At 41.7% G+C, this 17954-nt stretch overlaps 1 protein-coding gene across 13 annotated transcripts in view, besides 1 other annotated feature; it reads left to right on the forward strand.

The window, feature by feature from the left end:
* Positions 1-17954, forward strand: part of MAPK14 (mitogen-activated protein kinase 14) — a 96407-nt gene that overhangs the window by 72637 nt on the left and 5816 nt on the right. For 6 of the 13 annotated variants that reach the window (XM_011514310.4, XM_047418232.1, NM_139012.3 and 3 more), the window contains exons 10-12: positions 2127-2205; positions 7011-7184; positions 7936-10792. In XM_011514310.4, the coding sequence (XP_011512612.2) occupies positions 2127-2205; positions 7011-7184; positions 7936-8003 (321 nt within the window). In that variant the 3' untranslated portion in view covers positions 8004-10792. Of the gene's footprint in view, positions 1-2126; positions 2321-7010; positions 7185-7935; positions 10793-15914; positions 17923-17954 lie in introns of those variants that run through there. The other 7 variants (XM_017010299.3, XM_017010300.3, XM_047418233.1 and 4 more) reach the window with 4 other exon arrangements.
* Positions 14794-14873: an enhancer, noted in NCBI's record as "active region_24416". NCBI's record gives its function as "activates an Ori minimal core promoter by ATAC-STARR-seq in GM12878 lymphoblastoid cells {active_cell/tissue: GM12878}" and the evidence as "EXISTENCE:reporter gene assay evidence [ECO:0000049][PMID:35858748]".

The following is a 17954-nucleotide window of genomic DNA, read 5'->3' on the forward strand; positions in this document are numbered from 1 at the left end:
ATTGGGAATATAATTAGTAAGCTTGTAAATGGAAAATTGTTATTTTTATATTTGGTTGTGTGAATTTAGTGCTTGTGAGGCGGTTTCTTTCTAGGTGCTCTGCCTGTAGCTAGGGTGTGCTACTATCGTGACCTTTATCAGAAGGGTAGTTAACTGAAGTCCATTAGCATGCTTTCCAATTCATCCATTTTTTTAATGACCAAAAGAGGATTCTTTATTTAAAAACAAAACTGAAATATCCAATACTAATATGTACTATATTTAAAAGAAAATACACAAATAATATAGAATAAATACAAACACTTTGGTACAGTTAGGTACCTTCTTTATTAATTATTAACTACTTAGTCTAACTCTTGTTTTATTATCAGAGATGATTGGGGCACTTCTTTCTTTGTAAGATACCCTTAATATTTTGGGGAACCAGGTTGGCATCACAGAGGGCCCTTCCCAGCAGCTTTGTTTCTACTTCAGCTATATTCAGGTCGTCTTTTGATTTATCTTTATTAAAGGGATGACTGTTCTCTGAATGAGATAGTTCTCTCTTACCTGTTTTCCCTTCCTCTTTTTATTTACATGTTCAAGTAGAAAGGGATTACAGCCATTTATGTATTCAATTCCTAAAACTTTCTTTTCAAATCAGAAAGATTCTCAATTGCTTTTCAAAGCAGACCTTTCCTCCTGACTCCACATGCAATAATTAAGAAGCGGAAGGCTGGGTGTGGTGGCGTGCACCTGCAACCTCAGCACTTTGGAAGGCTGAGATGGGAGGATCAGTTGAGCCCAGGAGTTTGAGACCATCCTGGGCAACACAGCAATACTGCAGCTCTACAAAAAAATTTAAAAATTAGGGCATGATAGCACATGCCTGTAGTCCCAGCTACTTGGGAAGCTGAGGCAGGAGGGTTGCTTGAGTCAGGAGTTAGAGGCCATAGTGAGCTGTGATTGTGCCAGTGACCTCCAGCCTAGGCAACAGAGCAGAGACTGTGTCTCTAAAAAAATTTTTTTAATAAATAAAGAAGGTGAACTTGCCCAAGCAACCAGATTTTTTTTTTTTTAAGACAGGATCTTAACTCTGTCACCCCAGCTGGAGTGCAGTGGCACGATCTTAGCTCACTGGAACCTCCACCTCCTGGGCTCAAGCTTCCTGGGCTCCATCTCCCTGCTCAAGCGATCCTGTTACCTCAGTCTCCCAAGTAGCTGGGACCACAGGCATGCGTCACCACACCTGGCTAATTTTTTGTATTTTTGGAGACAAGTTTTCACCATGTTACCCAGGCTGGTCTCAAAGTCCTGGGCTCAAGCGATCTGCCCACCTTGGCCTCCCAAAGTGCTGGGATTACAGGCGTGAGTCACCGTGCCTGGGCAACCAGAACTTTTTATAAACTTGTGTGTGTATGTGTAAACATAAATATACATACATACTTTTACTGTTGGACTGTATTAAAACAGGAGTTTTAAAGAGGTGGTTAAGATAGACAGCAGACTTTGCTTCTGAAGGTGATAGTGGGATAGCAGATAATGTTTCTTGAACTGTCACTTGGAACCAAGTACTGTGTTAAGAAAGTACTAGGTTTGTTATCTCTAATCTTCACTCCAACCCTGTGAGGTAGGACTGTTATATTAAGTTTATATTAACTTTTTTGTTACCACCGTTACTTTGTTAGCAAGGTTTAATATTGATATCCTTTGATGTACTAAGAGCACCTACTGAAGTCAGCACTGTCAAAAGACTGCTGGTCCAAGACTTGCTTTGGGAATACCAACCCCTCTACCAATTTAGCTGTTTGAGAAGGCTGTCTCAGGGCTACTTCTTACATATCTTGGCCTCAGTTTTTAAACTTCTCATCCTGTGATCAGAAAGCTAATGAAAGAGAATTTGATTGATGAGCATTCTCGTTCACTTGAAATGCAACTGTGAGAGATAGCAGGAATAAAGAAGGTGATGATCATAACTAGGGAAGTTAGGATGGCAGTAAGGGAGAAGTTCTATCAAAGACAGTTAGAAACACTGAAGTTAGTGGACTTTGTCAGTTAACACTCGTTCCTTAGCAGGACCAAGATTCTTTCTTTGAGAGCAGTAACATTATTGAACAAAGTCATTCTGAAAACCCTTGTTTTTTCAGGCAAGAAACTATATTCAGTCTTTGACTCAGATGCCGAAGATGAACTTTGCGAATGTATTTATTGGTGCCAATCCCCTGGGTAAGTTGACCATATATCCTCACCTCATGGATATTGAATTGGTTATGATATAAATTGGGGATTTGAAGAAGAGTTTCTCCTTTTGACCAAATAAAGTACCATTAGTTGAATCTTGGAAGGTGATAAATACGGCTTTTATTATCTATTTGTGTTGTCAGATTTTTTTTTAATCACATGAGATGATTGTATGTTTAAATGATCACAGAACTTGGGATTGGGGGAATGGGCAGGTACAGTGGAGAAAGGAGAGAAAGTAATGGGAATGTTGAGAGAAAAGATTGGTGAGGCAGGAAGAAGCAGATACAGAAGAAAGCTGTAACTTGCTCACAACTGCTGTGGATTTATGGTGTCTCTGAGTGGAGGACAGAAACCACTGAAGTGCAGGTGGGTGTTTAGAGGAGCCACCCAGGAGCTCCCTGCAGGGTGCTCTGCTCTAACGGTAGCTGCCGTTGCTACAGATCCTGTCGTCTTCCACACTCATGAACTTTTCCCCTCTCCTCTTCTTTCTCTGCCCTCAGAGGCATAACCGTCCTCTCCTGTTTGTGGAGCTTATTTGCTACCTAAACTTAAAGGAATGGCTTCCTATGCCTTCAAGATCCTTGGCAGAGGGAAGTGATGGTGGCAGCTGAAGATATGTGTTGCCTTGGCTAAAAAAGGAGTTGCTTTATTATTATTATTTATTTATTTATTTATTTATTTATTTTGGTAGTGTCAGGGTCTCGCTCTTTTACCCAGGCTAGAGTACAGTGGCACAATCATAGCTCACTGCAAGCTTGAACTCCTGGGCTCCAGTGATCCTCCTGCCTCAGCCTTCCAAATAGCTAGGACTACAGGCATGCATCCCCAAGCCTGGCTAATTTTTTAAAGAATTCTTTGTAGAGACAGGGTCTCACCATCTTACTAATCGTGGACTCCTGGACTCATGCAGTCTGCCCACTTCAACTTCCAAAAGTGCTGGGATTCAGACGTGAGACACTGTGCCTGGCGGACTATATTCTTTGAAGGGGAGGAGTGATGTGTGCTTCAGATGGCCCCTGAAAGCTGCTTTGCCTGAGGCTCATTCCCTGACTCTTGAAGAGGACAGTGGACAGTGCTGTTTAATGGTGGACACAGAAGGATCAGACCAGGACCTCCCTACAATAGGGAAGGGAGCTATGCTATGGTAACGAGTATAATCTGCCTTCTCACTTTTCTTAAGATTGTATTGTGTGGTGTGTTTTAAAATCTCACTGCATTTCTTTGCATCTGTTTGGGTCATCTGTCTTCTTAAGGGTCTTGGCAGCTATGCTTCAGGTTTAGTTTTATCTTTTTGAGGGCTGACAGCCATGCTGACCTCTTTAGAAGCTGGGGTGAAGGCTAGGTGATTTTACCTTTTTAAGTACTTCATCCATAGTGATTATGGAGAGGAATTTTAGTGTCGCTGTGATAATTCTTATAATAGCAGAGATACTCACGCTCTTTGAAGTTTTGGGCAGTTGTGGATGAGTTCGTGTCAGCCTTGGAGACAGAGAGTATGTCATATCTCAGCTGGGTCGCTCTCCTGCCCTAGGATGAATCCACAGTCTCATCAGGGGTGGGTACGATTCTACTGAGACTGGCTTAGGTTTGCATCTGCCCTGGCATGCTCTCATTGGCTTTGTGTGATTTATTTGAGCTGTATTATCTAGTTCAAGGGTCTGTGAGAAGCTCTCTTTGAGCCTTAAGTACTACAGGATGTTGGGAAAAGATGTTGTGTTCTTTCTTTCCTTTTTTTTTTGAGACAGAGTCTCGCTCTGTCGTCCAGGTTGGAGTGCAGTGGTGCGATCTCGGCTCATTGCAAGCTCCACCTCCCGGCTTTAAGTGATTCTTCTGCCTCAGCCTCCTGAGTAGCTGGGAATACAAGTGTGTGCCACCACACCTGGCTAATTTTTTGTATCTTTAGTAAAGACGGGGTTTCACCGTGTTAGCCAGGATGGTCTCGATCTCCTGACCTCGTGACCTGCCCGCCTCGGCCTCCCAAAGTGCTGGGATTACAGGCATGAGCCACTGCACCCAGCCCGTCGTGTTCTTTCTTGTCGTCATTCTGTTCTGAAGTTGTTTCATTTTATAAGCCTTAAGTTTTGAACAGGGCAGTACTCACTGACACCCTCTTAACAGACTCAGAAAGATGTGTTAATTCATTTTTTAGGGGGAGAGGGGAGATATTTGTGTTCCAGCAGCTTATTTAGGTCACATACCTCCTGATAGGTCTTCCCATTCTTTGAAATCATGACATTGAAACCTCCAAAAGAACTAGATACCACTTTGCTAATGAGTTGAAAGGAGGCTTTGGTCCATCTGGTGCTCAGCACTGTACTTCTCAGCATTTAAACGTGCCTTACAGCCCATTGCCAAACAGTGATGTCATATAATGAGGCTCCCCTTGCTGGGCAGATGGAGCACAGTGTTACTATCACAAGCTCGTGCCCAGCATATTAACTGAGCAGGAACATGCCAGAAATATAAATATTAACAGCTCTGTTTTGTCAGCCACTGACTTTGTTTCACTGCTATTCCCAAAACATGAATTAAAACTTAAATTACCCCTTGATGTTAGTGTATGTATTTATCTGTCAAGATTTTTTTTTTTTAAGAGATGGCATCTCACTCTGTCACCCAGGTTAGAGTACAGTGGCACAGTCACGGTTCATGATAACCTCGAACTCTTGTGTTTAAGTGATCCTTCCTCTTCCCTATCCCAAGTAGCTGAGACAACAGGCACATAATGCCATGCCCAGCTAATAAGATCTTTGAGGAATTTGTTCTTGCCCCTGACCTTATTGGTTATAAGAACATGGTCCTTTTTACCCTAAGGGTAACAGAGACTTGTCGTATAATCTGTGTTCAATTATAAAATCAACAGCTGATAAGGTTTCTTTTTCTAAGAAGAGAAGACCATCAGAAGAATATATATATATATAATCCAGGCATTCACCTAGTACTGTAAAGTGTAAACTTATGAACTTGAATTGACACATGAATATTTACTTTGTTTCTGTATCCCCTTGAAGCCCATATTTCTCCAGTGGATTACTCTGGAATTCAAGCTGTAGGACGGGTGTTTTACAGCCTCCAATATACACAGCAGTAGATCTCTATAGGAAGCTGTCCTCTTCACTACTCACCCCCACACCCTCCACATTTAAGGAGTAATTTGCAAAGTCTCAAAAGCCTTTTTCACCACAGTGATAACTGGTTATATGGCAGTATTTATTCTCCCAAGTGCCACCATGCTGAAACACAAAAATACTCATTTGAAATATAGAGTTAGACAAATTACCATTTTGTAACCCCTTATGAAATAATTGCTTTTGGGAAGGAAACCCAGTGAATGCAGAAAGCCATAAGTGAAAAGAATGGATATTTACTTGGTACCAAAATATCCCGCAGATTACTTGCTTTGGTCAAAGGGGAAACATCTTAACCCAGTGATCAATTTTAGCTCATTAGTAGTGGGACAGATGGCCTTAATGCACTGTCACGTGCACAGCATCACCTGTATTTTTGCTGAAAATGTTTAACCTGATTCTTACCAAAATTTTTGACCTAACTTCCGGTTTTTGGGAAGTACAGGGGATAGTGGAAAGCAGGGTATAGACACATGACAGCAAAAGAAGCAAAATCAGACACATCCCGAGAAACGGTCATTCTCAGGACAATCAGAGGGTCTCTTTAGATCAAAATCAGGAAAGAACAGGGCTTAGAAGTAAGAAGATTATTCTAGACTAAGAGAGACTAAAGAAAACCAGTCAGTTGCAGTGCATGGCCCCTAATTGAATCCTGGTTTCAACAAACTAGTTCTAAAAGACAACGTTGGAATAATTGGAGAAATCTTAACATGAACTGGATTTTAGATGATATTTAGAAATTATTTGTCAGAGATAATAACAGTATTATGATTATATAGGAAGATGTCTTCGTGTTGAAATATTTGGGGAGGGTAAAGTGTCATGTCTATAATTTTATTTTAAAACAGTTCAGAAAAAAATACATATAAATACAGAAATATAAAAATGTTAATTGTTGAATATGCTAGGCATATGAGTGTTCACTTTATCATAGTTTTTACTTTTCTGTTTCTGTATATTTGAAATTTTTCATAGTGAAATTTTTAAAAATAAAATTCCCTTTGATTTTAATACCATGTCTCACCCTCATCACCATGTAAAACCCCCAGTTTATTCACTGTTTGAAGATCTGTTGATGAATATTTGATGTTAGTAAATAAACAGCTTAGGGGGACAAAAAAAAAACAGCCCTGCCTACCTATTGTAGGTTACTTCAGCTGTAGGCTTTGTTTTATACAGTTTGACTACACTGGTAGCAGTTTGACATTGACGGTCCACAAAAGCCTGTTCAAACAGAATCCCAGTCATTTAAAAAAATTCTTCTTTAGTAACATATTCTTTAAAAATACAAAATACAGGAGGAGGGTGAGGGTTGAGAGATAACCTATCGGGTACAATGTTCACTATTTGGTTAATGGGCACGCTAGAAGCCCAGTCCCCATCAGTCCGTGGTGAGACCCATGTAACAAATGTGCACATGTACCCCCAAATCAAAAATAAAATAAAAAAATTTTAAAACATAGAAAATACAGATACACACACACACACACACACACATACACACATAAAGGAGAAGAGGGCTAATATATCCTAGAGTAGGTATTTTGGAGGAGAGTTCTTTGTTTGGATATGAAGGGTCAAAACTATGTTTGCTCAATAAGGCATACTTTTTTGTAACATGTTAAAAACTCTTTTCCTTCCTGTCTATGGTACTGATAGCTGTCGACTTGCTGGAGAAGATGCTTGTATTGGACTCAGATAAGAGAATTACAGCGGCCCAAGCCCTTGCACATGCCTACTTTGCTCAGTACCACGATCCTGATGATGAACCAGTGGCCGATCCTTATGATCAGTCCTTTGAAAGCAGGGACCTCCTTATAGATGAGTGGAAAAGTAAGTCCTAAGGGTAGGATTAACATCTTGAACCACTAACCAAAAGCGGTGGGAAAAATAAAAACTGAATGGTCATAACCAACTTGCTAAAGCTTGTAGATGAGGTCTCTAATGCAGAATGAATATGTTCTCTGGTGGAAACTGTTGTAGACAGTGATACTCTCTGGACCTTTGAGATACTTATGTCTGGTCTGATTTTATGCACAGCCCCTCACATAGGAGTTTTGCATGGAGAGTTGAGGTTTTCAGAGTCATTGCATTTACAACATCTCTCTGAGCTTTTACAGTTTTACAATTAGTAGAACTGGGGCAAAGAGAATTTATGTCTTATCAGTTAACTTAGAACTAGTTAGGGACATAGCCAGGAATGGAACCCATGTATCCTGTGTCCAGTCCCATATTCTTTCCACAAAACACAAGTTCAGAACTCTAGTTAAATCCCAAGAGCCAAGACCATCTGTTGCTGTAGCTTGTGAGAGTGCTCTTTCATTCTTGAGCACCTCCGTAGAGAGCTTAAAAGAAGAGGCACTCAGCGATGAAAAACATGAGAAAAAAAATGGTTCTTTTCTATGTCCCTTGAACTTCTGTGTGATAACGTGTTCCAGTAGGCTATTACATACAAGCTGTGAGGTAGCCCATCAAACCACTACCTGGACAGAGAGGAAGGATCTTGAGCTTAGAAGTCAGAGTGCTTGCCAGCAAAGAGAATAGCCTAAACTCTCACATCTTACTTTTCCTTCCCAATTTCTAGGCCTGACCTATGATGAAGTCATCAGCTTTGTGCCACCACCCCTTGACCAAGAAGAGATGGAGTCCTGAGCACCTGGTTTCTGTTCTGTTGATCCCACTTCACTGTGAGGGGAAGGCCTTTTCACGGGAACTCTCCAAATATTATTCAAGTGCCTCTTGTTGCAGAGATTTCCTCCATGGTGGAAGGGGGTGTGCGTGCGTGTGCGTGCGTGTTAGTGTGTGTGCATGTGTGTGTCTGTCTTTGTGGGAGGGTAAGACAATATGAACAAACTATGATCACAGTGACTTTACAGGAGGTTGTGGATGCTCCAGGGCAGCCTCCACCTTGCTCTTCTTTCTGAGAGTTGGCTCAGGCAGACAAGAGCTGCTGTCCTTTTAGGAATATGTTCAATGCAAAGTAAAAAAATATGAATTGTCCCCAATCCCGGTCATGCTTTTGCCACTTTGGCTTCTCCTGTGACCCCACCTTGACGGTGGGGCGTAGACTTGACAACATCCCACAGTGGCACGGAGAGAAGGCCCATACCTTCTGGTTGCTTCAGACCTGACACCGTCCCTCAGTGATACGTACAGCCAAAAAGGACCAACTGGCTTCTGTGCACTAGCCTGTGATTAACTTGCTTAGTATGGTTCTCAGATCTTGACAGTATATTTGAAACTGTAAATATGTTTGTGCCTTAAAAGGAGAGAAGAAAGTGTAGATAGTTAAAAGACTGCAGCTGCTGAAGTTCTGAGCCGGGCAAGTCGAGAGGGCTGTTGGACAGCTGCTTGTGGGCCCGGAGTAATCAGGCAGCCTTCATAGGCGGTCATGTGTGCATGTGAGCACATGCGTATATGTGCGTCTCTCTTTCTCCCTCACCCCCAGGTGTTGCCATTTCTCTGCTTACCCTTCACCTTTGGTGCAGAGGTTTCTTGAATATCTGCCCCAGTAGTCAGAAGCAGGTTCTTGATGTCATGTACTTCCTGTGTACTCTTTATTTCTAGCAGAGTGAGGATGTGTTTTGCACGTCTTGCTATTTGAGCATGCACAGCTGCTTGTCCTGCTCTCTTCAGGAGGCCCTGGTGTCAGGCAGGTTTGCCAGTGAAGACTTCTTGGGTAGTTTAGATCCCATGTCACCTCAGCTGATATTATGGCAAGTGATATCACCTCTCTTCAGCCCCTAGTGCTATTCTGTGTTGAACACAATTGATACTTCAGGTGCTTTTGATGTGAAAATCATGAAAAGAGGAACAGGTGGATGTATAGCATTTTTATTCATGCCATCTGTTTTCAACCAACTATTTTTGAGGAATTATCATGGGAAAAGACCAGGGCTTTTCCCAGGAATATCCCAAACTTCGGAAACAAGTTATTCTCTTCACTCCCAATAACTAATGCTAAGAAATGCTGAAAATCAAAGTAAAAAATTAAAGCCCATAAGGCCAGAAACTCCTTTTGCTGTCTTTCTCTAAATATGATTACTTTAAAATAAAAAAGTAACAAGGTGTCTTTTCCACTCCTATGGAAAAGGGTCTTCTTGGCAGCTTAACATTGACTTCTTGGTTTGGGGAGAAATAAATTTTGTTTCAGAATTTTGTATATTGTAGGAATCCTTTGAGAATGTGATTCCTTTTGATGGGGAGAAAGGGCAAATTATTTTAATATTTTGTATTTTCAACTTTATAAAGATAAAATATCCTCAGGGGTGGAGAAGTGTCGTTTTCATAACTTGCTGAATTTCAGGCATTTTGTTCTACATGAGGACTCATATATTTAAGCCTTTTGTGTAATAAGAAAGTATAAAGTCACTTCCAGTGTTGGCTGTGTGACAGAATCTTGTATTTGGGCCAAGGTGTTTCCATTTCTCAATCAGTGCAGTGATACATGTACTCCAGAGGGACAGGGTGGACCCCCTGAGTCAACTGGAGCAAGAAGGAAGGAGGCAGACTGATGGCGATTCCCTCTCACCCGGGACTCTCCCCCTTTCAAGGAAAGTGAACCTTTAAAGTAAAGGCCTCATCTCCTTTATTGCAGTTCAAATCCTCACCATCCACAGCAAGATGAATTTTATCAGCCATGTTTGGTTGTAAATGCTCGTGTGATTTCCTACAGAAATACTGCTCTGAATATTTTGTAATAAAGGTCTTTGCACATGTGACCACATACGTGTTAGGAGGCTGCATGCTCTGGAAGCCTGGACTCTAAGCTGGAGCTCTTGGAAGAGCTCTTCGGTTTCTGAGCATAATGCTCCCATCTCCTGATTTCTCTGAACAGAAAACAAAAGAGAGAATGAGGGAAATTGCTATTTTATTTGTATTCATGAACTTGGCTGTAATCAGTTATGCCGTATAGGATGTCAGACAATACCACTGGTTAAAATAAAGCCTATTTTTCAAATTTAGTGAGTTTCTCAAGTTTATTATATTTTTCTCTTGTTTTTATTTAATGCACAATATGGCATTATATCAATATCCTTTAAACTGTGACCTGGCATACTTGTCTGACAGATCTTAATACTACTCCTAACATTTAGAAAATGTTGATAAAGCTTCTTAGTTGTACATTTTTTGGTGAAGAGTATCCAGGTCTTTGCTGTGGATGGGTAAAGCAAAGAGCAAATGAACGAAGTATTAAGCATTGGGGCCTGTCTTATCTACACTCGAGTGTAAGAGTGGCCGAAATGACAGGGCTCAGCAGACTGTGGCCTGAGGGCCAAATCTGGCCCACCACCTGTTTGGTGTAGCCTGCTAAGAATGGCTTTTACATTTTTAAATGGTTGGGAAAGAAAAAAAAAGAAGTAGTAGATTTTGTAGCATGTGATGTAAGTAATGTAAAACTTAAATTCCAGTATCCATAAATAAAGTTTTATGAGAACAGAGCCGCACTCATCTGTTTATGTATTGTCTGTGGCTGCTTTTGTGCTACAGTGACAGAGGCAAATAGTTGCAGCAGAGACTATAGGACCTCCAAAATGTCAACCATTTACCATCTGGCCCTTTAGAGAAGTCTGCTGACCCTTGGCCCAGGGCTACAGTTTTCTCATCTATAAAGTGAAGTTCAGGTTTTTTTCATCTTTGACATTTGAGACTATCTATAAGCCATATATTTTTATTATAAAACTGCCAGAGAGAAGGTTTGGTTTGTATATATAGGTGTACATTGTTTGTAAGCTTTTAGGCGAATGTATTTTATGACTCTGTTTTGTCTTAGCTGGCTACGGTCCTTGAAAATATTCTTCAGAATGACTGAATTGCATCACGGGATGAAAGAGCCACGGGGTCTCACAGCTGAGTTCTCAGGGACTTTGCTGATGTGCTTCCTTTCTTGGTGTCCTTGGAATGACACCCAGCAGGTGTCCCAGGGTGGATTGTGGGGCTCAGCCTGTGAGGATATTGAGAGCTGGGTTTTTGTCCAGGCCCTGGCTGGCAGCTGGGAATGAAGGCAGTGATCGAAGGCAGACCAAGCATAGTCTCCTTTCCATCCCCAGTGACTTCGTAAGGAGGTGAGAGAAAAGGGCCCCGGTTGTTACATGGGGTCCTTTAGCTCCTGTTAAGAATCAGACAGTTGGCCGGGCGTGGTGGCTCACGCCTGTAATCTCAGCACTTTGGGAGGCTGAGGCGGGCAGATCACGAGGTCAGGAGATCGAGACCATCCTGGCTAACACGGTGAAACCCCGTCTCTACTAAAAATACAAAAAATTAGCTGGGCGTGGTGGTGCATGCCTGTAATCCCAGCTATTCAGGAGGCTGAGGCGGGAGAATGGTATGAACCAGGGAGGCGGAACTTGCAGTGAGCCAAGATCATGCCACTGCACTCCAGCCTGGGTGACAGAGTGAGACTCCGTCTCAAAAAAAAAAAAAGAATCAGACCGTTGTAGGGAGTATTTTGCCTTCACATACCAGACATGAGACATGAGAACAGCCTTCCTCCTAGGCTTCTGAGAAGAGGGCCTGCTTAGCCCAAAGAGAGCTGACACCACAAAAAGCTCCCCTGAAGTGAATCCACTTAAAACGGGGACCAAAATTTCATATGTGGTGGACACTGGGGGATAGGGGAAACCTGAATGGAACTTTAATCATGAAAATGGAACAAAATGACAAAAGCATGTTCATAATTTTAAAGATATATTAATTCTGACAAGGAAATTAAGTTGTTTTTGAAGTGAAACTGATTTTGTATCTTACAATAATTTTCTCATTTGATTTTTGCAACGTGATCATAGAAGGAAGTTTTGCAAAAATATTTGAGGGCTTCATCAGTTTTCAGAAGGCCTCTTGATATTTTGATATTCACATTCTTTTTTATAAGTATCTATCGGTGATCACCTCCTCAACTTTCCTTTTATTGTTAACTGGTCTGAGTCTGTCACCCACACTTTTCAGAGCTTTTGCTTAAGGTTTGAGCAGTTTTCTAGCATTATTTATCAACTTCATCAAATCCACCACCATTTGCAAGATTTGTGATTATTGCAATTAAGTTGCATTCTATTTGTGTCATTTGTCATATGCTTACAGTATAACCATAGAGACTAACAGAAGACCAGAATACAGTGGGCAGGATAAATACATTGGCTTCAGGTACTTAAGAAGCAAAGAGGGACTAACTTTTTATAAATAGCTCATTAGTGAATGTTTTCACATTGGGATGACTTTCACTTCTCTATATAATTTGGTAGCTGCAAGGACTTGGTTAATGAATATGCAAATAATAAAGACCCCCTTTTATTTATAATGCAGATATGTTTTAATAATGTACATGCCCTTTGAACTTAGCATTTACACTTCTCAGAAGTCTTCAGCCTGAGCAACATAGCTGGGGACTCTTGACTCTACATTAGCCAGGTGTGGTGGTGCATGCCTTGTAGTCCCAGCTGCTTGGGAGGCTGAGGTGGGAGGATCTCTTGAGCCCAGGAGTTCAAGGCTGCAGTGAGTCATGGTTGTGCCACTGCATTCCAGCCTGGGTGACATAGTGAGACCCTGTCTCATAAAAAAAAAAAAAAAAAAAAAAAAAGGTCTTAAGTGCACAAAGTAGAATGTTTTTCAGTGTCACATTCTTTGTACAGCAAAATACTGGAAGTAACCCACATATCTATGAATAAGGACTTGATTGAATAAGATGGTCATCTGTGCAGTGGAATACCATCCAGCTAGGCATGGATAGATGTGCAACATACATTGTGAAGGAGAAAAAGTCAGTGGCAAACTGTAGTATCCTAGCCCCCTTTTTTGTTGATAGGTAATGCCTGGCTAGGAAATGAATATACATTGAACTGTTAGCAACCATCTCTAGGCAGTGGGATTGTGCCCTTTAATTTTTATGCTATTTCTGTAATGTGTACCTTTTTTTACACTGAGAGTTTTGTTTTGTGATCAGAAGAAACCTTTTCTTTCTTTGTTTTGTTTTTTAATGAGAAAGGTGTTTAAAAGTCTATGTGACCTGGGGAACCATTCTCAAATTTCAGTTTTGCCAGGGCTAGAGCCCAGCCTTTCAAGGCAGGAGAACAGTTGCTGGAAAGAAATTGCACCCAGCTGTTAGGCCTCTGGCAAGCAAAGCCGCACCAGTACTTTGTAGCGGCATTCTCCACCCAGCTGGGAGGGTTTGGTTGTTTCTTCTTCAGTAGAAGGGTGTATTTTAAGGATCTTAAGCAGGATTTTTCAATTTTGGCACTATTGGCATCTCAGACCAGATAATTATTTGTTGTGGAAGCTGTCCTGTGCAGTGTAGGGTGTTAGGCAGCATCCCTGGCCTCTACCCACTAATGCCAGTAGCACTCATGCTCCCTTCCCCCAGTTGGGATAGCCAGAGATGTCTCCAGATGTTGTTGCCAAATGGCTTCTGGGGAACAAAATCATCCCTGGTTGAAAACCATGAATCTAACACTTCATCCCTCCTAATCTTGCAGAACACCAAAGCCTCTTTTCTTGAAAAAAGAGTTAACACCCACTGGCCTGTTGTAACTTAAAGAAGTAGTTTGGTGGCCGGGCACGGTGGCTCATGCCTGTAATCCCAGCACTTTGGGAGGCCGAGGTGGGCGGATCACCTGAGGTCAGGAGTTCAAAACCAGCCTGGCCAACATGGCAAAACCCTGTCTCTACTAAAAATACAAAAAATTAGCCGGGCTTGGTGGTGGGCACCTGTAATCCCAGCTACTTGGGAGGCTGAGGCAGGAGAATCGCTTGAACCTGGGAGGCGGAGGTTGCAGTGAGCCAAGATGACACCGCAGCACTCCAGCCTGGGCAACAAGAGTGGAACTCTGTTTAAAAAAAAAAAAAAAAAGTAGCTTGGCATCTTGGAGGAAAAGTACAAATTGGAAAGGCCTTTTTAGACTCAAATACATATTTTTAGGGGAAATATGTTTGGTACTGAATAAAGGTCATTTCATTTCTTAAAAAAAAACAGTAGGTTGAGTAAATTAAGTTATCCTTTGTTCAGAAGTTCTTTGCCATTATCCACAGGCAGAAAATCTGGTAATTAAACTGGGGGTATGACTACAAGATTTTCTTAGACCAGTAAGGAAATAACAAATCTCAATGTGCCTGGTGTGTTGTCGACACTCAAGATACTGGTTAGTCTGCATCTCACGAGTTGACAGGGGGCATCGAGGCTGTCTTGTTAGGGGGAGTTTGCAGCCTTCTGCATCTGGGAACAGTGTGTGTCTCTAAAGCCAACTGGGGAGAGAGCTTCTGAGGACAAATGGTCCTGAGGCAGTTTCTGGAAAACCCATTATTGAAGCCATAGGCTGTGGTCTAAGTACGCATAGCCAGTGGGATAATGTTATATTGCAGAGTTATTTGAGTAGTTCAATTTAAGGAAGGTGCTTTGTTTAGAAGTTATTATAAGTTAAATAAGGAAGTAACCTTCAGTTTGCAACTAAAAATAGAAACTGCCACCACCATTTGAGTGTCAGTTGCAGCAGAAAAGAAGAAGGTGTAAAACCACAGACCCAGCCTAGATTCTTAACAAAAACCAGTGGTTCTAAACTCTTGTCAGATCTATTACCCTTTGCATAACTAATATTTTATAATACCTCTTTTATAATGCTGAGGTGAAATTCATAGATAATTCACACAATTTCAAAGAAAATATAATGATCCAATATAAATGACAAAGGAAAAATACGAATACATTTCCATATATAAGTGCTGGCTGGGCATGGTGGCTCGCACCTGTAATCCCGGCACTTTGGGAGGCTGAGGCGGGCAGAACACTTGAGGTCAGGAGTTTAGGATGAGCCTGGCCAACATGGAGAAACCCGTCTCTACAGAAAATTTTTAAAACGTTAACTGGGGCGGGGCGCAGTGGCTTACACCTGTAATCACAGCACTTTGGGAGGCTGAGGCAAGTGGATCACTCGCCATCCTGGCCAACATGGTGAAACCCCATCTCTACTAAAAATACGAAATTAGTACAAGATAGAAAAATTAGTCAGCTGTGGTGGCACCCACCTGGGTCCCAGCTACTCAGGAGGCTGAGGCGGGAAAATTGCTTGAACCTGGGAGGTGGATCTTGCAGTAAGCTGAGATCATGCCACTGCACTCCAGCCTGGGCAACAGAGGGAGACTCCGTCTCAAAAAAAAAAAAAAAAATGAAAAAATAAAAAGTTATCTGGGCATGGTGGCACACACCTGTAGTCCCAGCTACTGAGGAGGCTGAGGCAGGAAGATTGCTTAAGCCATGGAGGTTGAGGCTGCAGTGAGCCATGATCATTCCACTGCACTCCAGCCTGGGTGACAGAGTGAGACCCTGTCTAAAAAAAAATAAAAAGTAAATTCTCAGGCATAGCTACATAAAAGAAATAATGAAGTAGTTAGATGCTTGTACCTATACATAGAATCACCTTGAATATGACAGCTCCAAATGCGTACTGATACAGTTGTGTTGTCTTGACAACTCAGATACCATGGCTGACTGCTGTCAGTCATGATTTTTCTGAAAGTGGTAAGCAACTCTTGGTAAAAATTTCAAACAAACAATTAGAATCTTTTTTTTTTTTTGGACAGGGTCTCAGTCTGTTGCCCAGCCTGGAGAACTTTTTTATTTACTCAGTTGTGATCCTGGGAAATGTAAGTATATTAATATGCAGAAAAGTATTTGTTTGATATGTAAAACCAAGTTACAGTCTAGGCTCAGATAATCATAAATAGTTTTTTCCACCTTCATGAATGTCCAGCAGGATGTTTGTAATGTGAAGCAATTCTTGTTAAGAATCCCACTCTGCACAGTGGCCCGTGCATGCTCATATCAGTAATACTCCTGATCAGTATGATAACCAAAAATGGCCCCAGAGATTTCAGTGCACCCGCTGAGAACTGCTGACAGATCAAATGACTCTGGGACACCTGGAGTCCTAAGAAGTGAAACCTCCACAATGCAGGACAGACCTGGCTCCCTATGGTCTTCCTTCCTTCCTTCACCTCCTTCCCCCTACTTTCCTTACCTCCCTACTAAAAAGTAGTTCTTTTAATGAACTGCTACTGTATGTTAGGCAATTTACATTCTTGCATATTCTATACAAGTAATGTCTCTTTCTCAGTCACGTTACAACTGAGGCTAGATTCAACAGACTATCCTGATATCAACGTTGAAAGACTCCTGGTTCCAAAGAGTTTTATAGCATTGGTGTTAGACAATCCTCTTTTGGTTTTTTTAAAGAAAATTTAAAAAAATTAATTCAGCATAATTTCCATAAGGACTCCCTGGCTGCTGCTGGCCAAATTGGGGAGGAGTCCCTGGCAGCCACAGCCAGGCACTGGTGCCTTATCTTGTTCAGCACACACTGGGTCTCTCTCCCTAGTTCCAGGCCCCTTGCCCTCGCTTCTCTACTCATCTGGGATAGAAATGCACCTCCAGGCCTCTGAAGAGAAACTACCTTTTCCCTCTTTCAGCCAAAAGGGCTCAAGCCAGCACTCGCTTTGTATGTCCTAGAAGATGAGCATGCTTCCCTCTGGCTCTCTATAGCAGTGCTCTAATGGGACAAAGTCACTGTGTGCTCTTGCTTTCTCTCCTGGTCTTTGTGCGTGATAGTCCCTCTCTCTAGAACCCTCTTCCTCCTCCTCATTCCTCTGAGCTAATGTATTCGTTCTTCTGTTCAGCCTTGACATCACTCCCTCAGTAAATTTCTGACCATTCCCAAGCCTGGATTAGCTGTGTCTTCTGCATGCACCCTGTAATCTGGAATGATCATTGGTGGCACTGATTACACTGCTTTATCATTGCTTGCTGTTTGTACCACCTGCTCAAAAAAGAAAAACATATAAAGGTTAAGGATACAGGCTCTGGAACCTTTGATGTGATTAAGTAATTTGCTCAAGATTGTACCAATAATAGAGAGTGGGGCTGTGAGGACTAAATGAGTTAAGACATGAAAAACCCTGAGTATACAGTAAATGCTAAATACTGGCTTAAGGCTGCATGTCATCGAAGACAGATCATGTCTTGTTCACTGTGGTGTCCCTGTCACCTAGCTTGGTACCTGGCACACAGTAGGCATTCAGTCCTTATTGACCGAGTCCATAAATGACTGTCAGCTTTTAATCCCTTGCAGATCACCTTGTCTTTTGCTTCCTGTTTTTACAATCAATAGTCTTTAGAAGCAAAGATCATTTAAAGAAAAACCAAATATGTAGGGGTTATCTGCCTTGCCTAAGAAATGGTGCTGTGTGGAATTTCCTTGTTTAAGAAGAGATACGTGTTAGAAGAATTGGCTTCTGATTCTCTTTGCTGTGTCTTGCTGTGTAATTCAAGTTGGCTGCACAGCAATTTAATGAATTAGAACAAGAACCAAAAGATTATTGAAAGTGGCTGATGGCCATAATCTAGATAATTCCTACTGTGTCCCCATCCATCTGCCACTTTAAAATGAAAATAGCAAGGCAAAAGAAAGATAATTGGAAGGCATTATGGTGTCTTGCACCCTCATTCAGCCATTCTACAAATATCTATTAGGTACCTTCCATCTGTCAGGCACTGGGAATATGGGAAAGAATAAAAGTCAAATTCCTGTCCCCATGGAGTTGTTCGTTGTTTTCATGGGAAAAGGC

The sequence above is a fragment of the Homo sapiens genome, chromosome 6 (genome assembly GCF_000001405.40).
Source record: "Homo sapiens chromosome 6, GRCh38.p14 Primary Assembly".
In the NCBI taxonomy this organism is placed as follows: Eukaryota; Metazoa; Chordata; class Mammalia; order Primates; family Hominidae; genus Homo; species Homo sapiens.